Raw genomic sequence first — 23,911 nt, 5'->3', positions numbered from 1 at the left:
TACACTGTAATAGTATTGCTGGATCAAATGGTAGTTCTCCTTTAAGTTCTTTATAAACTCAGTATTATTTATGAAATAATTTTTCCTAGCTCTGTATACTAAAAATAGAACCAAGATTGATAAAGTTTTTCTATAAAGGGATACACAGTAAATACTTTAGGCTTTCTGGGCAGTATACGGTCTCTGTTTCATAGATTTCTTGGTCATTCTGGTCTTTAAGAAACTGTTTATTTGTGGGGTTATTTGTTGATTTGTTTGTTGTTGTTGACTTTTTCCCATTTACAATTTTTAAAATAATTTTTAGTTCTTAGGATGTACAAAAACAGGCCACAGACAGGATATAGTTTACAGGCCATTGTTTGCTTATTCCTGGGTCTAGAAACACACTCCAATGGCCATGAGCACACCTAGCATCCATACTTTGGTTTCTAAATACATTTCGTATCTTAAAGGGATCCAGACTTTTGAAGAAGCAAACGATTCCATGTCTAGGACCTGGACAGCATGAAGTAATCCTGGAACATCTTCTCTAGAAAGCAAGAAAAAAGTATCAGAGCATAGGATACAGACAAAAGACAGTGCCTCCACCAGCAAAATTAGTACACTTTGAGCACAGTGATGGATTACAATATACTGGGATAGGGGAGGGAAATCTATGAGTGGTACCCAATGAAAAAATGGTAGAATTACAAAATCACCATTTTAATATTGGAATCTGATCATTAATTCATGCAGTGTTCATCAATAGAAGAACAAAAAGCTGGGTAAATGTTGGGGAATAGAACAGTCATACAACTTCAAAGTAACCATACATTACTTATTAAAAATAAACATGTTAATATAATGCATAATTAGAAACTCCTATGGAGAGATCTGGAGAGAGACAACCTTAACTAAGTGATTGTCTGAGCATCACCCATTATCCAACAAACTGAAATCTCATTGCTTTCTGATGGGATGCAATGGGAAGTACACAACATTATCTGTGCAATATTTTTTTGCAACAAATCTTTAACCTGAATCTAATCATGAGGGGACAAAAAGACAAGTCCAGATGTGGGGTACTCTGTAAAATAATGACCCAAATATTTCAAACAAGTCAATGTCACAACAGCAACAACATGAAATGCCAAGATAACTGTGCTAGATTGAAGGAGATAGAATTAAAGACTTAACAACAAAATGCAGTGAATGGCATTTGCCTGGATCTGATATTCACAACAGTTATAACATCTATAAAAATGTTTTTGAAAAAATATGAGAAAGCTTGAGTATACTAGATAACATTATTGGGTGAATTTTATTTCCTGCATGTGCCAATGGTATTATAGCTATGTAGGAAAGTGGCCTAGTTACTAGGTGATACATGCTGAATTATTTAGGAATGATATGTCATTATATCTTCAATTTACATTCAAATGATTCTGCAATATATAAAAATATCAATATATATGCAGAGAAAGAGGAGAGAGTGCAAGTAAAAGTGGTAAAGGATGAATCACCATTAGTGACTCTAGGTAAAGGAAATCTGAGCATTTTTTTTTATTATACTTTAATTTCTAGGGTACATGTGCACAACGTGCAGGTTTGTTACATATGTATACATGTGCCACATTGGTGCACTGCACCCATTAACTCATCATTTACATTAGGTATATCTCCTAATGCTATCCCTCCCCCGTTCCCCTACCCCTCAACAGACCCCGGTGTGTGATGTTCTCCTTCTTGTGTCCAAGTGTTCTCATTGTTCAATTCCCACCTATGGGTGAGAACATGTGGTGTTTGGTTTTTTGTCCTTGCCATAGTTTGCTGAGAATGATGGTTTCCAGCTTCATCCATGTCCCTACAAAGGACATGAACTCATCCTTTTTTATGGCTGCATAGTATTCCATGATGTATATGTACCACATTTTCTTAATCCAGTCTATCATTGATGGACATTTGGGTTGGTTCCAAGTCTTTGCTATTGTGAATAGTGCCAAAATATACATATGTGTGCATGTGTCTTTATAGCAGCATGATTTATAATCCTTTGGGTATATACCCAGTAATAGGATGGCTGGGTCAAATGGTATTTCTAGTTCTAGATCCCTGAGGAATTGCCACACTGTCTTCCACAATGGTTGAACTAGTTTACAGTCCCACCAACAGTGTAAAAGTGTTCCTATTTCTCCACATCCTCTCCAGCACCTGTTGTTTCCTGACTTTTTAATGATTGCCATTCTAACTGGTGTGAGATGGTATCTCATTGTGGTTTTGATTTCCATTTCTCTGATGGCCAGTGATGATGAGCATTTTTTCATGTGTCTTTTGGCTGCATAAATGTCTTCTTTTGAGAAGTGTCTGTTCATATCCTTCGCCCACTTTTTGATGGGGTTGTTTGTTTTTTTCTTGTAAATTTGTCTGAGTTCTTTGTAGATTCTGGATCTTAGCCCTGTGTCAGATGAGTAGATTGCAAAAATTTTCTCCCATTCTGTAGGTTGCCTGTTCACCCTGATGGTAGTTTGTTTTGCTGTGCAGAAGCTCTTTAGTTTAATTAGATCCCATTTGTCAATTTTGTCTTTTGTTGCCATTGCTTTTGGTGTTTTAGACATGAAGTCCTTGCCCATGCCTATGTCCTGAATGGTATTGCCTAGGTTTTCTTCTAGGGTTTTTTATGGTTTTAAGTCTAACATGTAAGTCTTTAATCCATCTTGAATTAATTTTTGTACAAGGTGTAAGGAAGGGATCCAGTTTCAGCTTTCTACATATGGCTAGCCAGTTTTCCCAGCACCGTTTATTAAATAGGGACTCCTTTCCCCATTTCTTGTTTTTGTCAGGTTTGTCAAAGATCGGATGGTTGTAGATGTGTAGTATTATTTCTGAGGGCTCTGTTCTTTTCCATTGGTCTATATATCTGTTTTGGTAATCTGAGCATTCTTGATGCTTTTTTTCAACTTTACTGTAGGTTTGGAAATGTCTTAATAAAAAATTAGGGCAAAAGAAAGTAAGGCTTTTACCCAAATTGCAAAATCATATAAATTTTGTGTTTAAGGGTATTTACAGAACTGTTTTTAGTAACAAAGAAACAAAAGAGAACTTTAAAAAATCTAAATGTACCTTGACAAGGATATGATTGAAGAATTATGTCACATCCATGTAATGTCATTAAAATAGGAAGTACATTTATATGTACTGATATAGTTTGTATATTTGTCCGTGCTCAAATCTCATGTTGAAATATAATCCTCAATCTTAGAGGTGGGGCCTGATGGGAGGTGTTTGGGTCATAGGAAGGGATTCCTCATGGCTTGGTGCTGTTTTTGAGATAGTGAGTTCTCACAAAATGTGGATGTTTACAAGTGTGTGGCACCAATCCCCACCTGCTCCCTCTTGCTCCTCTTGCCCTGTGAGACACCTGTTCCTCCTTCACCTTCCACCATAAGTAAAAGCTTCCTGAGGCCTCACCAGAAACAGATGCTGGCATTATGCTTCCTGTACAGCCTGCAGAACCATAGCCAAGTAAACTTTTATTATAAATTATCCAGTCTCAGGTATTTATTTATAGCAATGCAAGAATGGTCTAATACATGTACAGATAGAAGAAAATGTCCTATATGATATAGATGAAAAAAAATAGGAAGGAAGGGAGTGAGGAAGGGAAGAAGGGAGGAGAAAGAAGCAGAAGGGTATGAATGGGTGTTTACTCCTAGCAAAATATACAGGTTCTGGAGAATATATATAAAAAAAAAACCTGTTAACAGTGATTACCGATAGAGAATGAGAGGGTGATCAGGGATAGGATTTTAATTTTTACATTACACATTTTATTACTGTTATAGTTTATCATGGGAATGTTATCACTTTTATAATAAAAATAAGAAGTGTCTATCCTATCCCACCTCACATTGTATAAAATTCTTAGAACAGTAAACCAAAATATATCTATTACTTACCAGTACTTCTTGAATTAGGCAGTCTTTGCTCTTTGGCTAAGTTCTCTGAGGTCAGTACCACAGCTACAAGTACATTTGGCAAATGCTGATATAAGTAGGCTCACAGGTGTAGGCCATGACTTAGAGCAATATCTACTGTCTGACTAGGTTAAATGCCATAAACATATTATATGTCCAGATTCTGAATGGTGCTGAAAATCAGAAGGAAATTCATTGGTTTCGGCTTTACCAATTATTGAATGGCCTTTGCAAACTATAAATCAGAGTACACATGTGCACTATTCTCATTTCCTTAGAGACTTAGTATAATCCTGTAGTCAGAGCAATCATGCTCTCTTACTGGCTACAAATTGGGAACAGGAGTTCAGAGAGATTCACGATGACAATATCACCTTTCTCCACAATGTTTTTGGCTCCCATTAATAGTATCAGCAAATAAACTATCAGAGTTCTTTTCAACACAGACGACTGGGCCCAGAATATATGGGGGAGGTTATACCCCTCATCTTGACTTAAAGAGGATTATGTATCCCCTTCCAAGTTGGCTTTTTAATTTGCTTCAACATTCAGAATTATATCCTCAAAGCAACCAACTTTCAATATCTTGTAGGAACTTATAGGACATCTCAAGAGTTTGTAGGCCAATTCCTATAGCCATTTTCGTAACTTTATATAATTCACGAGACATTAAAAAGCACAAAAATTATAAACACCACTAATTTGATGGTACCTTTTATTCACATGTGGATAAAGTCTGGTAGGTTGGAAAAGTTTAAGCAAACAAAGTAAGATGGCTGAGATATTTCATACCATGAGCATAAGTCAACAGCATGAGTTAAGCCAAAGACAGCTAAGAAGCCCTGAGCAAGAACTGCCAGGACTGTAATCAATATGTTACCTCTGACATTTACAAACACCCTTTAGAAGCAAAACACTATTTTAAAACCTTTTAATGTCATTTATGAAGTTGGCTTGCCCTTTAAATGTCTTTCATTCCTCTTGAGAATTAAATCAGTTTCAATGAGGACCCTTTTTTGATTATTTGAACAGCAGTTGGGGGTAAGGAGCAAAAGAAGAAGGCTCTTCACCTGCTTGTAATAGCCTATTGTCATTGTGATTGCCAACCTTTCAACTCTTCCACTGTCCTTAAGAATTCATAAAAGAGTGACAGGTGACAGCTTCCTTCTCGGATGGAACTCCTTGCTTGAGAATCAAATGGGACTGGAAGTCGATGCAGAGGAGGCTTTTTATGAGCATGGCTTTGAGAGAGCCATGGCCCTGCCATTCCCTGGCACACAGGAGATACCTATCAGTTGGATTCACAGAGGCATATCCTCCCTCTTAATGTAGTCTGCAGACATGAGGATCCTTCTGGTGAACATAGGGTCTACATGGGAGTCAATGGGGATGGGCAAAAGCCAAAAATTAGTGGGTCAAAAGCTGAGAATGTTAGCTACTGTGGCCTGTGGTTGAGACAAATGCAGGCACAAAGGGGATAGGAGGTATCTATATGAGGCGTGCCAGGCCCTAGGTCAGTGCACACAGAGTAGTGTGCCATGATGGTACTGTCAACCTCTGTATTCTCAGCAGAATCAAGTACAGAGATGGGGCACGTCCAGACCTCTAAGGATAAAACTGACAAGAGCAAGACAATGTAGTTTAACAAAACAAGGTACTTGTATGTATATACAGGTTTAAATCAAGACCCACAGCTCTCCCTTTAAAATATACAACTGGCACCAAATTAATAAAAGATAGAAGTTCTATGCAGGGAAATCAAGACAGAGGCCATATCTAAGCCAACCATTAGGACTGGCTTTAATAACCTGAAATTTTCCCCAGAACACCAGGCTCTACCCTGACAGTATTAGATCAGGGTCCTCAGCAGATAATAAAGCTGTGTCCTTGAGGTAAAGTTGTTCTGGTTAGGTGTACTATAGCAATAGCTTCTCTTTGGAAGGATAGCCATGGAGAAATATAGATGATGAACAAAAGGAGAGTGAATCAGAGTTGCTAGAATGGCTAGATCTCCTCTTAGTAAAAATGCCAGGTGCTCTTCAATGGGAGGCATCTGTCTAGGAATAATTCAAACTACCTAGCTGAGGAATGCTCTGTATGGATCTGCCCTTCCACAGTTAGCACTGGTGAAAAATCACAGCTTAATTGGAATCCAGTCCTAGACTCAGCATAACCCACAGCAATTACTGTAGCTGGCCTACTGGACCAAGATGCAAGATGGTTATCCAAATGTCATAACCTTTAAGGATAATGCCCAGTGTTCACTCTTTACCAATAACCCTGCCAATTAACTAAGTTGCCAATCACCTTCCTCTGTTTGCTTACATTTTGAATCAGAGAATATTAAAGTTATTGATTTTCTCCTTACATTATAGATAAGGAAATTAAATCTGGCTCAGAGGCAGAATAACTTGCCTGAATCTCCATAGTCAATTAGATTAGAAGAGATTGAAGCTCTTCTGATTTTAGAATTCTCTACCAGTACTACAATGTTGTCTTAGTCAACTAACACAACCCAGGATTTTTGAATTCCAGCTGCCACCAAGGTCAAATACATTCAGTATGTCTCCTGCAAGTAAGAGTTTTATTTAAAAGAAGGAGCAACAGTAGGGGGTCATCCACCCTGAGATCACTACTGCTATCAGATACCTTGTTTTATCTCCAAAATTTTGCTTCTTTGAGTTAGTTCTCTTTGATTCCGTGTAGTTTTTTCAAAATATGGCTTCTTTTCCATGTGAAGTTTGCCTCATCTATACTCAGAGCTCTAAGCAAAATTATGAAACAGAAAGACACAAGATTTAGAATCTGAAGAAGTTAGTTTTACTAGATTCTGAGGCTCCATGTCTATGTGACTAAAGAAGTCATTTAAGTCAGTTATAATTTCATCATCTAAAATAAGAGAAATTGTTCAAGATGATAGACCCAGCATATGTATGTTTACCTAATACATGGTCTATTTAAGCGAATAAAAAAGGTGCCATTCATGGACTAGAAAATGAGAGGAAATTGTAGTAGATAGAAAATAGATAAAAGATATTGACAGGGCAAATGGAAGAGAGAAAAACACACCTGAAAACATCTAGGCATTCTACAGGGAAGTTGTTTGTTAAAACACCCCACGGTACACACAGAACTCAAAGTCAGTTCTCCTATCCAAGGAAAAGGGTTGTTGGAGAGGGAAATTTACAGAGTTCCAGAGAAACTCCTTATTCCAAGCCTCCTACATATCCTAATTACCCTGACTTAGTTTAGATACCTACAAAATCAAACTTAAACAAGAACATGATTTATATGGGAGGTGATCCCAGGAAGCAGGTATGAAGAACAGCAACAGTAGGAAAAGAGAGGAACAAGAAAACTCAATAAAGGATGTGTTATTTGAGGATTGCCATTGTAGGCCACTAGGACTCCATCCTGCTGGGAACCTTTAGGAACCTCATAGAACATGACCCAGAATTGTTTCCCTGAAAAACAGAAAGCGGAGGCATTTATCCATTGATCCCCCTGCCAGTCCCACCATGGGTAGGGTTGTCCCTGGAGGCATCATCCAATGAATATGTCCATGCTCTCTGGCCCATGAACTGAGTAAGACTTAGCATGTTTCCAAACCCAGAAGGCAAAACTGTAGAGAGAAATAGCAAGCAATTGAGGTAGGTCATTGGCAGTGCCAGGGTCATGTCCACCAGAGTGGCAGCTAAAACCAAAAGGAGATCACAGAACATGGCATACGTCACAAAAATTATCTGTTACAGTCAGTCATTAAACTGAACCACAAGGACCTGAGACATTTGAAGAAAATTTACAGCATGAAAAAAGAAGCCTAAAGTGGAAAAAAAGAATTATCTGATCCCAGCTAAATTAGAGTTGATCAAGGAAAAGAACATTTAAATTATTCTAATAAGCATATTCAGAATAAAATAATAACCATATTCAGAATAAAATATTCTGAATATAATATTATTAGAATATAAATTATTCTAGTAAGTAATTTTCAGAAAGAACAAAAAGTTTTTTCTCCCAAAACCAAAAATGGGCCTCTGGAGAAATGAAGCAAACAGAAAAAAGAAACTTTCAAAAAAATAAACATTTTATTGCAAAAAAAAAAAAAAAAAAAAAACTCAGTAGTTGGATTGAGAATAGATAGCATTAAATACCAAGACTAAGCTCGAAGAAAGTTTTCTTGTAGTTAAAAAATAATGTATTTTCAGATTGACTAGCAAAATCAATGAGGAAAAATGTTCCAGCAATTTCAGAAGTCCTAGAACAAAGAGAAAATTATAAAAGCTTCCACAGTTGGAGAAACACAAATTAACATCAAATTTCTTACCATAAACAATGGACACTGAAAGATAATGTAGCAATTTTTTTTCACATTTGTTTTTTCAACCTTGAAATATATACCCAGCCAAACCATTAAACAAATATTGGACAAAATACCTTTCAGGAATGTAAGCTCTCATAAAGCATTAAAATCAGATAATTGTATTTAAAAACAACCCATCAAAGAGGGTACTCTGGGGAAAAAATGTAAAAAGAAGATGAAGTGAATTATAAGGAACAGCAGCATTGGATTGTACCCAGAAAACTAAAAAAAAAAAAAGCTCCAAAACAGAACCTCCTGGGTCTCCACACTAAAGTATTTATTTTGGGAGTGGAGGTAGCAGGATTTAATGACACAGAATTAAAAGTCCTCCTTTGTGGGAAGAGTTGCTCACTTGGTTCAAAATGAGTAACAGTCACATAATCATGACTCTACTGTAAATACTATTTTGGAGAACTTCAATTTGAAAATCAGCCTACAGACAAAACACACACAAAAAAACAAGTATAATGAGAACAATATAAATGTTATAAGCCTTGACAACATATATGGTATTAATAAATAAATACGAATATTTGTGGAAATTCTGATTTGAAAAAAGAATAAAAAACAAAAAGGAAAACAACAACAAAGATTAATAGGTGAAGAAATGAGAAGAAATAGAAACAATTAAATATGTATTTATTCTACCTTCTAACAATCTCTAGCATTGGTAAATCAAGAAATACAAATATGAATATATATCTTTTACAGTTAAAAAGGGAATTACTAGAAGAACTAAAATAATATAATTGGCAACATTGAAGTATAAAGATAAGTTATATACAGTAAAGTAATTTTAAAAATTCTAAAATCTCTTTTTTTTAATTTTAGAAATATGTTACTGCTATGTTGCTGAGGCTGGACTTGAACTCGGGCTCAAGCAATTTCTTGCCACAGCCTCCTGAGTAACTGAGACTGCAGGCATGCACCACTGTGCCTGGCTCTCTTCATCTTTTATTGCATAAGGTAGACTGTTGCTGTCTAAAGTTGATAGCTTAATAAATAGAAGCAGAAATAAAAACATTTAAAATTCTAATGGGAAGTGCCAAAAGAATGAAGAAAGAAAATGTTTAAAAGGTACTTATCTCTGGGGTGTGGTGATGGAGGTGGGGGAAGATTGATACTTTTACAACGTCATTTTAGACAGTTTTCAAAAACTAGATTTTTTCCATGTTTAGATATTGCTTTTAGAAAGAATACTTTGATAGAGACTCAAAAGCCCAATAGTTTGCCAGCTACAAATGAAGTTTCCTGGGCTCAGCCATGAATTCACTGTGATTAATAACAACTTAACCGGTGCCCAGGATTTAGGAGAATAAGTAACCTTGTCATTCCCAACCCCTGAGCTGTGGCTTCATTTTATATAGCCATGTTAATTCTACTTGTAATCCCCATGAAGTGCAGGGACTTCTGTTATTTCTTATCTTTAAGCCTCTTTTATCCCTGCTGAACTCAAAAGGATAACTTTTTAAAAGAGCCAATGGGGTGGGGGAAAACAATGAGAAATGACTAGCATTTTGGAAGATGAAAAGGAATGACAATTATTAGGTTAAAATAATTAGATATTTATTCCTCCCTGCATAACTCAAAGGGATCAACGTTTCTTGTGTGATGAGAATTTCATGTATCTCTAAATTACAAAAGCCTTGTTTTCACTGAAAGTGCATCAGATCCTGAAGTATTAAATAATATACCAAATCAAAAATTTATGAATTCAGCTTCTTATCTTAGGGATAAGACTCGGTTTTTAATCTTCTATATTTCTTGGGAGAAGGGGAGGACACAGAAGTCAGAGAATATTCAAACGAATTAGTGAGTCTGAGTTAAAGTAGAGCCCAGCTTGTTCTACCAGTTGATATTTGAATATGCCCAGGTGTCTTCAAAATTCAGTTCCCCATTGGCACTGAAGTAAATAGGAAATTTCATGAGTATGATTACCAAGTCTTGATTTTCTCCAGTAATAAAAAAAAATCTGTCTCCTGAATTATCTGGGTTTCTACTCTTTGAGACTACCATAACTTGCCTTTTGGGGAAGGAGGAAGGGCAGGAGGAGGGAAAGAAAAGTGTAATTTTGAATATGTAGTTGGTAACTATTCTCTTACTTTGTTCTTTGAAAAATAGGAACTAAATCCATGAAGGATTTTCAGTTTTACTGTGTCTGCCTTATAGATCCCACACCTGCCTCCTGCAATACACACACACACACACACACACACACACACACACACACACGCACACCCTAAATTCATCTTTTACCTCTACCACTTGTGGACAAGAAGTGCATTGGCCTTAAAAACTTGGTGACTTCAGAAGTAATATCAGCAAAATGGCAGACTAAGAAGCTCCAAGCCCATGTATGTAGAAGTCAAATTCACAAAGACAGAAAGTAGAATCATACTTACCAGGAGCTGGGGGAAAGGAGAGTGGGAAGTTATTATTTAATGGGTACAGAATTTCAGTTGGAATGCTGGATAAAGTTCTGAAGATAGGTAATAGAGATGGTTATACAACAATGTGTATGTACTTAATGCCACTAAACTGTACACTTAATTGTTAAAATGGTAAATTGAACGTTAAGTATAGTTTAGCACAATATTAAAAAAAACACTGTAGTGATCTGCAGTTGGTTCATGTATGGCAAACTGTTCTACTTGTCTCACTAAAACTTGCATATATCACACTGCAGTTCTATAATAATTTATGTGCATCAAGAAAGGATTAATTTTTTAGTAGGACAAGGTAAGTCAATACATGTATTTGGCAATTCTGTCAAGATAAGTTATTTTCCATTTAAGAGTTTGGAAATTGAAGGAGTAAATTTTTGTACTTGGGAAATTCACAAATGTGTGTGTTTGTGTGTGTGTGTGTGTGTGTGTGTGTGAAAGAGACCGTGTGTGTGTGAGGAAGAGAGAGACGGAGACAGAGAAGGAGGTAGGGCAGATTCAAAGTAGAAAATCACTGTCACAATTAGAAGCCCTAGAAAGTGCTTGTGGAATCTACCTGTGGAATCAAGTAGATTGGATTTTGCCTCATATTCCTCTCATTGCCTGGTTGTGGGTTCTTGATCAAGTCATATACCTTTCTGAACATCATGTTTCCTCATCTATAAGAAGTCAAAATACTTATTATGTTAGTTATTATAAAGATTAAATATATGTAAAATACACAAGTGCCGAGCACTTCACACATAATAAAATGTAATTGTTACTCTCCTTCTCATTTTGTGGTGATTTTTATTGCCATTCTGTTCTAATATGGTTCATGTCTTATCCAGCAATTGCATCACAAACTACAGCTTATTAAGACAAAGCCAGAGTGTTGCTAACCTTCTCTCAGAGAAATTTAGTCCTGAAAATTAAATCTCTGTCAACTCTGAAGCAGAGTTCCTGTGAGCTGTGCTTTCTAGGACTCAGCTCACCTGCCCAGGAAGTGAAGATTCAGAGCAAGTCATCAGATGGAAAGGTGAAAGGCTGAGGACACAAAGCAAGAGCTCCCACTGGACCACTCACGGCGGCAGGCTTCCTTTTACAGCATAAACTGCAGCATATCTGGCCCCTCTGCTGGCTCCTAGACATCCTGTGGCTGTTCTAGGAAAGGAGAAAATAGAACCTGGGAAGTTGAAAATAATGTATGTTTCCCTATAGTACCAATGAGGAGGGGGAAGAGAAAGAAAATGGAACTAGTCAAAGTAGCCACTTGTCTCCAAATCTGGAAATTAGGTTTCAGTGGTAACACCATCTACAGCAGTGCTGTTCAATACAGTAGCCACTAGCCACACATAGCTATTTATATTTAAAAGAAAATTATTTAAAATTGAATTAAATGTAAATATCAGTTCCCCAGTCACACTAGCCCATTTCAAGTGTTCGTAGTCCCATGTGGCTACTAGATCCATATTGGACTGCACAGCAAAAGGAAAGGAAGATTGCAATCACTGCAGAAAGTTCCATTAGACATTGCTGGTCTACAGGGAAGAGGCAGAAACAAAACTTAATATGTCTAGCCAGACAAATTTCCTGAGCTGCTTCTGCAAGGATCATGACTTTAATGTGGTCTGGAAACTATGAAAGTCCCACAAGGGATTCAATTAGAACCCTTTGCAAACTAGCCTCTCTAGACCTATGAAAATTCTGCAGCCCTCAGTCAAGGCACCACAAGGAGAAACTCTCTGCTGTCTGGTGAGTGCTGCAGGAGCAATTTGCTGAGGGGCCCACCTCTCAGTGGACTCTGTAACCTATAAGGGCCTTCCAGAAGTCACTTTGGCCATCTGCCCTTCTCCAGGGCAGCATTTCCCTTATGCTTGGCAAGGGGGGCTGTCTCCCAGGTTTCAGTCCTCTTGGTGGAAAGAGCACAGAGTTCTCCTCAGTGTCTTCTCCAAGCCTGACTTTCCACCTTGGAACTTCCCTCAATCAAATTAATATAAAAATACTAATATTGAAGACCCATTGATGATTTTCTTGCAGGCTAGAAGAAGGTTTCAAGGTTATTAACATCTATTATAGCAACAAGGTGGCAACTCAAAAAAACATTGGGGCACTGAGTAAGAAATGTGGGTTTGAGTCAGAGGAATGGGTTTTAATCAGATAAATTCAGAAGTTAGGACATTCTACAAGAAAACTAGTCTGCGTGCTAAAAAATATTAATGTCATGGAAAAAAAGTGGGAAAACTGTTCTAGATTAAAGAGATATAACCAAATGCAAAGTATGCACCTTAATTAGATGCTGCTTTAAAGACTAAAGCAGCAGCTATAAAAGACATTTGGGGACAGCTGAGAAATGTTGATTCTGAGTTGGATATTAAGTGATTATGTGAAATTAGTGTTAATATTCCTAAGAGTCATAATGTTATTGTAGTGGTGAAGGAGAATATTTTTATTCTTAGAAAATATAAGCTGAATGAAACATTTAGGGAGAATGCTCATGGTGTCTGTATCAAATGCTTAGACAAAAAAGCAGAAATATACAGAAAATTAAAGCAAATATGGCGAAATATTAATTATTGAATCTAGATGGTATACAGATGGTTATTTTATTTTATTTTATTTTATTTTATTTTATTTTATTTTATTTTATTTTATTTTTAAGACGGAGTCTCGCTCTGTTGCCCAGGCTGGAGTGCAGCGGCGCGAACTCGGTTCACTGCAAGCTCCACCTCCCGGGTTCACGCCATTCTCCTGCCAGGATATTCTCAATCTCCTGACCTTGTGATCCGCCCGCCTAGGCCTACTTTAGTTCTGGGATTACAAGCGTCACTGAGTACAGATGGTTACTTTATTTTGCAACTTTTTTCTGTGTCTGAAACGATTCAAAATAACAGTTTGGGTTGTGGGATAATTAGAATAGATTTCAAAAGGGCCAAGATGTAAGAGAGAAGTCCAAACAGGACAAGAAGTCCAGAGAGATGGAGTGCAATAGAGTACAGAATGCCATATCTTGTGCCTAGGAAAAAGCCAAATCTGATTGCATTATTTTAATATGTGTTGGGTGTTACCATGTACCAAGCATCAGACTAACTAGGCACTTCACGTTCATTATCTAGTGTAAACCTCACAATATTCCCAAAACCATAATCGTTATCCTCATTTTGTTGATGTGAAAAGCTGGAGCTGTTGGGAGGCTGAGGCAGACGAATCACTTGAGCCCAGGAGCTCAAGACCAACCTAGGCAACACAGTGAGACCCTGTCACTACAAAGAAATTCAAAATTTGTAATATATATCTGTCATCCTTGCTCAGTTCATGTATTAATTATTAATTCTAATATATATATTTTCTATTTTGGGATTCTTTAGTATTTTCTATATATAAGATCATGTCATTAACCAGGCATGGTGTGATGTGCCTGTAGTCCCAGCTACTCAGGAGGATGAAATGAGAGGACTGCTTGAACCTGGGAGGTTGAGGTTGCAGTTAGCCATGATCATACCACTGCACTCCAGCCTGGGCAACAGAGCAGGACCCTGTCTCAAAAAAATTTTTTTTAATTAAAAAAAAAAAGCTGAGTCTGACAGAGTTTGAGTCATTTGGTCAAACTTACACAGCTACTAAGTAGTAAAGCTAGGATGCAAATAAAAATCTGGCCATTTCTAAAGCCCGTGCTAATTGCCTCCTGTTAATTTAGCATCAATAATAATTCTTTCTCCAGTAAATTCAGTAGCAAGAGGGAAAAAATTAGGTCACGATTACATGAGTCTGAAACGGACAAAGACAGGGAGCATGGTAGGGGGCTCATGAGAGAACTGATTTTGGCTACCAGCACTTCAAAAATATTTTAGGTTCCAGTCCTCTGGATTATATGGGGTAAGTGACAGCTTCCCAAATCATATGATTCTCTAGGATCCCTTACCAGGCATTAGGATGCCCCATGGGTTGAGACTGTCCATGGTATCTTGGAGGTGTAGAATGGGTGGCTAAAATCAGTTCTTTGTCCTCACTCTACAAGAGGACACTGCATCTAAGTCAGACACAAGTTCCATTTCACTAATAGCTACTTATTCTCTTGGGATTTCTCTTTCTCTGATAAACTAGCAACTTGTTGAGATAAATCACTGGATTCCACATCTTTCATTTTCTCATAAAATAAACTTTCTATTGACATAACTTGGCAAAGAGTATCCTAAATTCTGATCATTCTCATTGAGTCTCCACCATGAAACATTTCAGTGTGTTGCTTCTTTCCTGTAACTATATAATAAAGTACAGCCTTATAATCTTTTAGTCAGCAGTTATGTCAAATTGTATTCTAAGAGCAAGAAGTGAAGGAGGTGATGGCTGAGGCCATTTACATACCAACAGATCCCAACATCCCTGGAATGTTAGATGTTTTAAGATTTCCAGGTGCTCTCCTCAGTGGAAAATTCTGCCACACACACACACACACACACACACACACACACACACACAATGTAGAGTAACATTTCTTAATGGGAGATCATCCTCTTCTACATGCAATTGATTCATTTTGCCTAAGCTTATAGAGCTGCCCTTGTTAGTCCACTATAAACTGTAAGTCTGTATCTTCCCCCATTTGAATATGAATGTTAATATTAAAATAACTGATTGAGACTTTTTTGCCTCTCTACCTCCACATGTAATGCAGTGCCAACTACACATTCCTATTTTGGCTGAAGGAATAAACAGGTTCATGAAGGACAGTTTTGTTGGAAAAGCTGGAGTATATTTTGACATGAAAAACAGACCACGTAGGATAAGTTGCCACATTCTTGTTTCTTAGGATTAGCATTTCCACGATCTCTGCCCCAGGCCAAGCCACCAGCAATGTTTGTCTAAATTACTGCAACAGCCTAGGCTAGTGCAACTGCTGGTATTCCTCTCATCCCTTGGACACAAATCTCCATTTCCCATGAAGCAATTGGAAGAGTCTTTTTAAACATGCAAATCATATGTGGTGACATATGAGAAGTTTCAAAACTTTTAGTGTCTTCATATGGGAGCTGAATAAGATCCTCACTCTTAGTCACAACCCACAAAGCCTTGCCAATATCCTAACCAAACACCAAACCTCATTTCTTACTACTCTCTTCCATTTTCACTCTCCATTCCCTCTAGCTTCATCCTCATGGTCTGAAACATTCTCTCCTCCATAGCCTTGTGTGGCTTGCTCCTCATGTGTCAAATCCCACTTTTAATGTTTCTGCCTTACAGAGACCATTTTCTATTGCCATACCTTGTTCTTTTTCTTCATAGAACCAATAAAAAACTATATTTTCTTCCTTTACTTGTTTTTTTCCTGTCTTCACCACCAAATAGTTGGCTTTATGAGTTTTAATATTAAAAGAACTGATTGAGACTTTTTTGCTTCTCTACCTCCACATGTAATGCAGTGCCCATGCCCTGCACATAGTACACACTCTATAGCCCATGATATACACACAAGAAATCTTTATGGCCACTGTAGGTTATCGAAAAGCTCTAACAGGAGAATTGTCCCTCGAAGGGAGTTAGTTTGAGGACCTCCCCCATATACCAAAAGTTACAGATGCTCAAGTCTCAGATATAAAATGGCATAGTAATGGCATATAACCTACACACATCCTCCCGTATACTTCAAATCATCTCTAGATTACTCATAATACTTAATACAATGTAAATGCTATGTAAATTGCAGTTAAACCATATTGTTTAGAGAATAATGACAGAAAAAAAGCCTGTACATGTTCACTAAAGATCTAATTACTTTCCAAATATTTTCAATCCATAGTTGGTTGAATCTACATATGTGAAATCTGCAAATAGAGAGGACTAACTATACATGCCATTGCTTTACATTTCAGTGTCTTGGCAAAGGCAGATGGAAGGGAAAGAAGCCTTGACTAAGCAGGATGAGATCTGGAGATATTTACTGATCTATAGAAGCTGACCGCCCCACCCTCAAACACCCCTCACCACCACCACCAACACACACACACACACACACACACACAAGACTGGTGTTTTCATGCCTTAAAAAACAAAGAAGTTGGTGCAGCCACCATTATCATGCTGGGAGGCAGCAGATCCACTGTCTAGCATCTTTTCTTCCCTCTATCCTAGGAGCTTCATGTTCATAGACTTTTTTATTTTAGCTCTTTTGCCAAACTGTGCACTTCATGACGGCAAGGATTGCTCCATTTCTGTCTTGTCAGAGCCTCACTCCAGATCTAGTCCAAAATACATATTAAGAATATGTTTATTAAGCTGAACAAAATATAAAATTTTTGTTTCCAAAGACTCCTGCTCTACAGAATGACTCAGAGGTAAAGAAAAATCCGTGAACCTACAATATCAAAATAATTAGAAATTATGACACAATGGCATGTAGCAAGCCTTGAATTTTAGATCCATAAATGAGAATTCAAATTTCTTTTGATAACATATTGCCTATTCCTTTTTTTTTGATGCTTTATAATAGGAAAGTCAGCAATTCTTTTGATAATATATTGCCTGAAAGATTTTAACCTGTCCAGAATATTTTTGTACTCAAAGAGGCAAATAGTAATTAAAACAATCTTATTTTCTGACTCCCAAAAGGCCTTAAGTTCTAGAAATAAAAGTCTATTCTAGGTTGGGCTAGAAAAAAAAATTGATCCCACTGTGCATAAAAATGGTGCCCTGCGAATCTCAGTAACATCAGGAACCAAACAGTGCATTGAATAGGAACCTGATTGGAAGACATAAAAGGAAAATTTGGTTGATTGTAATCCTTATATATGACAGAAGTTGGATTTTCTCAGCTCAGTTGTGCTCTATGGGTATCTGACAAGTCTAAACTGCAGCTTAAAGGAGTTCAATAAATTTCAAGTTGTTTTTAATGTCAAAGGGTTGAATTTAGACAAGCTGTGTTGACTTGAAATTGGACAGCTGGAATTTGTATTTTCAGTTGTTGGAAATTTCAGTGCGGATTTGACTAGTATTGATGATTCCCTATTGATGTGAAGCATTGTAAAAATCATTGAATTCTATAAAGTGTCATTCTTTTCACTTTTTTATTTAATGCTTTTTGTTATTGAAAAAGCCCACTGTTTTCTAATACATTTAAATAATCTTCAGAATAGAGAATATAATAAATCAGTAAGAAAGTCAAGATCCAGTGTAGCTTAGAATAAGCTAAACTTGTAATGAGGCTGTTATAAATGTTAACTTTCCACAGTAGCTGTTTTCTGGGCACCTCACAAATTGTATAATTTGTCTTGTGTTTCTAAGTTCGATTAACAGGTGCTGCAGTGTCAGTAGTGTGATGGGAGCTGTGATTACCAACAATATTGATATATTCTGGCTATGACATAGGTCAATGATTCCTCCAGAAAGCCATAGAGAATGGAGATACAAGTCTCCCTTCCATAACATCTACATATTAAGCAAGACTTGTTTGCGTCTATTGAATAGCCTCCCAGACATAAATACTTTCATTAGGGAGTTCTTTGCTACGTTCTCTGAAACATGACTCTCAGAGGAAGGTTGAGATTAACAGTGCATCAGGTTATGCTTAATCTTCTTTCACTATTCCATTTTGTTTTAATCCCATAATATTTGCATTTCTGAAATTAGGGTATTGTATCCATTGGGGTGGGACCCAGAGGCCTCATTTGGGTTAGATTTATTATCTACTAAATGACTTTCTTAGCACAAATTTTTATCTCTTTGTGTGCCAGCTAATCTCAATGCTCTATCTTGAGCAGATTCTATTACAGCAAAATTTATCATTCTTTTTTAAAATTTTCTACATAGCTTTTAGAAACTTTCTTATTAATAGTAAATGCTAACAGACACATTACAACACAACAGACAGAGATAAGAGTCACACCTTAAATATGATAAGATGTCTTTGACCCTGAAGTTATCCCCAAGTCCTTGGTTTAGAAAAATATTTCATTTGTCACGAAAATCTTTTGCAGGCCCAATGAGTCAAATTCCTGGAACAGGGGACATTAATTAGAGATATGTTTCTTGTGCAACCTCAGGCTTGGGCAGGGAGTCGTGGAAATGCAAGCCAGGAGAAGAGGTTTGGGTCTTAGGTGAAAGAAAACCATAGAAAGTTATGTTAACAAATAGTTAATAAAGAAGTACAAGTGAGAGGAACTGGAAGCAACAGGAAAGAGCTGGGCGGTGGACAGAGAGGTACAACTGAGGAAGCTATTGCAGCGCCAACTTTCTGATTATTGCTCAATCAGTTTCAGTGTTACTTTGTATCTATCAGTTGACTGATTCTACATGTCCTTTACAACCATGAATGCTGGGCAGTTTGGTTTGAAATTTTTGATTAGGTTATCACATCGAGCACTGCTATGACTGAGGATGGTGGGGCACAGGAGCTTAAGACTGGTATTGGTAGATGGAGTTGAAGATTGCTGTGTGGATGGAAGTAAAGATGAAGATAGAGATGAAGATTGGTTTGGGCTGAAGATGAGAAGTGGGGGCGGAGATGAAGATGGCGTGGTGAACCCTGTCAACATTAGCTATGGGAAAACAGGATTAGGCAGATCTTTGATTGAAAGAATTGAACCACAGCCAAGAATATAGGACAGATTCTGACCAAAATAGAAGATTCTAGAATGAGCTAGTCAGAATATTGGCACAAAATAAATGAATTGTTGCTCAGAGCAGAACTCCATACCTACTAGGACGAAAAGCCTAAGTCACATTGCTGCTGGCTGGGCACCAAATGCTAACTAACTTCATCTTCCAGGGACTGGACCTATTGCTGCACAATTTTCTCAGCCTCCACTAGCTGAAAGACTGCACAGCCTCTCTGTTAGGTCAGAATTAGCTCATGACATGGGCATGCTGAGCCAGAAAGTTGTAAAAGAAAGGCGAGTATGTGAGAAGTGTATAAGTGTGTTGTGCACTGTGAGTGTATGTGTGATGTAGTATATATATTTGTTCACGCTTGGACAGTTAGTTCCAAGGGCAACCTAGTCATGATATCTGTTTCTTATTAAGTGGCAACTTTATTCAGCAGGAACACTCTAGAACACGATTATCTTCTGTATATATCTAGCCTAAGATTAGGGATAATTCTTAATAACTATAACCAGGAAACATTTGTAACTGCATTTTTCCTATATTGAAGCAGATAGCAATAGAGAGTGTTAAGATAATAACAAAAATGCAAGCAAAAATATCAACACATTATTTAAAAGGTCTTTTAAATATTTAAAATGGAAATATTCATTGGTTTTATTTCTGACAAAAACTGACAAGTCTCATGGGGGGAATTTAAACCTAACTTCGAGTTAAATGCTGTTGACCATCTAAATGAAAACAAAATGAGATGTGGATCTCACATACAGTATACATTTTCAAAAGCTGTCAGTGTTAGAGCAAAGCAGGTTTGTTATAAATTAATTGTTCTTTTTCTGGATGCTTCACAATATTGAAGTCAGCATCTGTTGATCCTTTTAGTCACAGAAATACACTTGTGAAAAACTAATAGAAGATGATGATACAGAGATGGAGAAATATGTGTGTTGTTAGTAAGAGAAACAGAGAGACCAAGCACAAAGGAAGAAAGAGACATCTACAGAGGGAAACCAGAAAGGAAAAAAGAGAATTCACAAACCCAGACTGTTAAGAAAAATTTCTGTCTGCAGTGCCATTTATTGAAGATTTTGTGGTTGCTGATAGTTGTGACATTTTATGACAGCAAACCAAGAGACTTCTGGTCAGTAACACCTTAATTGTTTGGCTCTTACCCAGACATACCCTCCTCCTACATATTGATGGAGTGACAAAAATCCGAGTTTCTTCATGATCTTTTATGAAAACATTTATTTTAAGAGGCTAACACTTTAAAAATTGAACTGGTAGAAATCCATAGAATAAACTATGTTATCTTTCCTCTGTTCCTTGCTGCTTCAAACAGAAAATTGTCAAGGGCAAGAAGAAGGAACAAGTGTACTTTTAAGAACAAAGTGTTTTCATTTGATGAAGATTACAATGCAGGTTAGACTTCTCGGCCACTTTAGGTTAGAGTCCAGTTTCTCTAAAATGAAGTATTTACCTCCTCTTGGGAAATACGAGAATAAAGTAGGTGGCCAGAGAGTCATCATGTGCTTCAAAGTTGTATGTACCACCCATCCACCATCATCCATACCATCGTCAAAGTTAACTCAATATCAGAGATACCAAAGTTATAATGAAGAATCGTGACTAAGGAAGCTGGAAGGAAAACACGTAAGAAAGCACACGTTCCATCTCCTGGCTTCTGGCCCATACATAATTTCATTTCAGAAAGCCAAGATCCCCATTTCTAGAAGATCTGTAAGAGAATTTTATTCCCAGAGAAATATATTTAAGGAAACATCCATGGCCTAATAAAATGAACAAAGAACTGGGAATCAGCAGTTACAAGTTTTGTGGAATGGGGTAAGCTCACTTCACCCCTCAGAACCTCAGTTTCTCCATTTGTGAAAGGAAAAATAATAATCTCACACTGATTAACAGCATTAGGGCAATCATAAATGTCAAAGGAAATTGTTGCCACTTTGTGAATGCTGCTTTGTCAATTCCAGTTAAAGATGGAGGCACCTGTTTTCTCCCACATATTTCATTTTTGCAATTTAAATTCACAGAAATCAAATAATTCATTCTTCCCATTATTTAAAAATACTTATTGCCAAGTTCTGAAGATATGAAAGCCCTTGTCACCAACAAACGCTCTGTCTGTGGTCCTCTTCTGACTTCCTGGCTGCTCCCATACGAGAGGGATAAGCATCTAGCATTATTCTAGGTCTGACATGTGAATGCTAAATTTGCCAGTGACAACTCATCAAGTTACCAAATCCAGCTCTACTGAGAACTCTCCATAGGAGCCTGGGCAATTATTTGCTCATCATTATTTTCTCCTTTAGTTTATAATTCTCAGCTCAGAGCATGCTCTGAGAGTAAAACAAATGAACCTTTTTATCATGAAAAGTACTCTGAAAACCAAACAAAATTGAAAGTTGATTTTGCCATGGTAAACCATATAAGAATACCTGTATTAAAGAGTCTATCACATCTCCAACTTTGTGCTAGGTACCATGAGCAATACAAGAGAAAAAAAGACACATATCCCTGTCTTCTGAACATGTCTTATAGCTCTGGCCCCCTAAGTTTTGCCATTATAAAATGTCAGCTTCACGTTCGCCTTTCACTGAAAGGCTGAATGTAAAATGAGAAGTTCTAAGTACAAACCTCAGCATATCTGTAAAACATTCAAAGACAATGCCTCTGACCATTATTCAATGACCCTTTATGCAAAGATTCACAAAAGAGTGGTCTGTCTAAACTCAAACTTGAGAAAGCATGCAACCCGAAGTAGAGACAGTTGTTCCTTGTTAGAAAAAGGTAACCTATCAGGCTTTTAGTTTTCCCCTTTTTGTTTTGGGGGAAAACTCAAAATGAAGCCTCAGATTCACAGTTGCTTTCTTATATTCCTTTTTTTTCCCTTGTAAATTCTTTTTATTATTATTATGCTTTAAATTTTAGGGTACATGTGCACAACGTGCAGGTTCGTTACATATGTATACATGTGCCATGTTGGTGTGCTGCACCCATTACCTCATCATTTAGCCTTAGATATATCTCCTAATGCTACCCTCCCCCCTCCCCCCACCCCACAACAGTCCCCGGTGTGTGATGTTCCCCTTCCTGTGTCCCTGTGTTCTCATTGTTCAATTCCACTTATGAGTGAGAACATGCGGTGTTTGGTTTTTTGTCCTTGCTTTCTTATATTCTTATTACTACTCTTCCTTTCCCTATACTTATGAGCCTTTGTCATTGTCCTTACTATATAGTACAAGGAGATTCTTATATATTTATAATATTTTTGAAAGATAAATATAAATTTTGACGTAGATATAATCAATAATTAAAGTTTCTGGTACAATTAGCCAAAGCAATAGTTCAGAGACTCTTCTGTCCATGGCTCCTAATGCCCAAAGAAGAAAAGCAAAAATGGTAGATGACATTCCAGGGCTTTCATGACCAGTCCAGGCCACACTGCATATTCCCTAATTTTAGCCACATTGATTTATTTGGACATTTTCTAGTTGACCAGGTTGTTCATACTAATACACCTTTGCCTTCATTTGCCTCTCCCCTCTCCAACACTCTCATTCTTGATCACTGTGGCAAATCACTTACTCTTCCAATTGTGGTTCAGATCAGGCTTTCTCTGAGTATTCATGACAGCCCCAGACAGAATTAGGCAATTTCGGTTTTTGTTTTTGAATTCCCTGAGGCTTTTATTGCATTTTGTTATTCTTCTATGATGTTTTTAATGTCTCATATATCTACAATGTCTGCCTTTTTTCCTCCTCTAGACTAGAAAATCCTGGAAGACATGAACTGTATCTTTGCATTTTCATCTCCAAACTTTAGTGCAGAGCTGGACACAGAATAGGTTCACAATAAATATGTATGTTGCTGACTAAATTAATGAATAAACAAACAAATGAATGGGGTTCCACTATAATACCAAGTTCAAAGTAAGAAAACAACAGAGAAAAACATAGGTGGCTCGTAGCACACTCCAAGGATAAAATGTGGAAGAAATTTAATTACTAGTGACAAATAAAAAAGCACTCATTCTGCCAAAGGGAAGGCCATGTGCGATGAAATAAATTATCATCCCAAGAAAGCCTTCCTGAAAAGAAGAACATGAGATAAGGGGGTTGGGGTAGGGAGTAGTACAGATTTTTCTTTATTCTTATGGGAAGGAAATGACATTAACATGTATGAAAGTCCTGCTGTGTTCCAAGAAACAGACCAAGGCTTCCACATGTAGATTTATCTAATCCTCACTTTGTTCCTTAATAAATGTGATATTATTATCATTATCATCATTTCAAAATTATGCTAAAGGCCCTTGAATTTTGAAAGTTGTGCAGTTTTCAACATGAAACAAAAGCACCTACTGCATTGTCATTTATGATTATCTTTACTCCTGGCAAATCTTATGTATCTAGCAGTAATGAGGAAAGGTTATTATTTCTTGAATAACCCATAGACACAGCAAAAATACATATTACTTTATTTAGAAGCTTTGGGTATGTTTAATGCCAGACTGATAATATATTTAGAAATCATTTTAGAAAAAGCTAGAAAGACAACAG

At 37.0% G+C, this 23,911-nt stretch overlaps 1 long non-coding RNA gene across 8 annotated transcripts; it reads right to left on the bottom strand.

Annotated features, from left to right (window-relative positions):
• Positions 1-209: 209 nt before the first annotated feature.
• On the bottom strand, positions 210-22,247 carry LOC102724048 (uncharacterized). Of its 8 annotated transcripts, none has more exons than XR_007095865.1 (6): positions 18,619-22,247; positions 11,735-11,903; positions 11,317-11,419; positions 6,603-6,717; positions 3,936-4,126; positions 210-529 (listed from the first exon to the last, which is right to left on the bottom strand). It is a non-coding gene; the product is annotated as an uncharacterized LOC102724048 (long non-coding RNA). The 8 variants fall into 8 exon arrangements; XR_002959624.2 differs by lacking the exon at positions 11,317-11,419 and having other exon boundaries at positions 210-3,483; positions 3,936-5,322; positions 18,619-18,727; positions 19,429-19,919; XR_001740646.2 differs by lacking the exon at positions 11,317-11,419 and adding an exon at positions 3,363-3,483 and having other exon boundaries at positions 3,936-6,717.
• Between the last annotated feature and the right edge of the window lie 1,664 nt (positions 22,248-23,911).

This window comes from Homo sapiens, chromosome 3 (assembly GCF_000001405.40).
Source record: "Homo sapiens chromosome 3, GRCh38.p14 Primary Assembly".
Taxonomy (NCBI): domain Eukaryota; kingdom Metazoa; phylum Chordata; class Mammalia; order Primates; family Hominidae; genus Homo; species Homo sapiens.
Note: the sequence above shows the minus strand (reverse complement) of the source record. Positions and strands in the feature narration are given on the sequence as shown.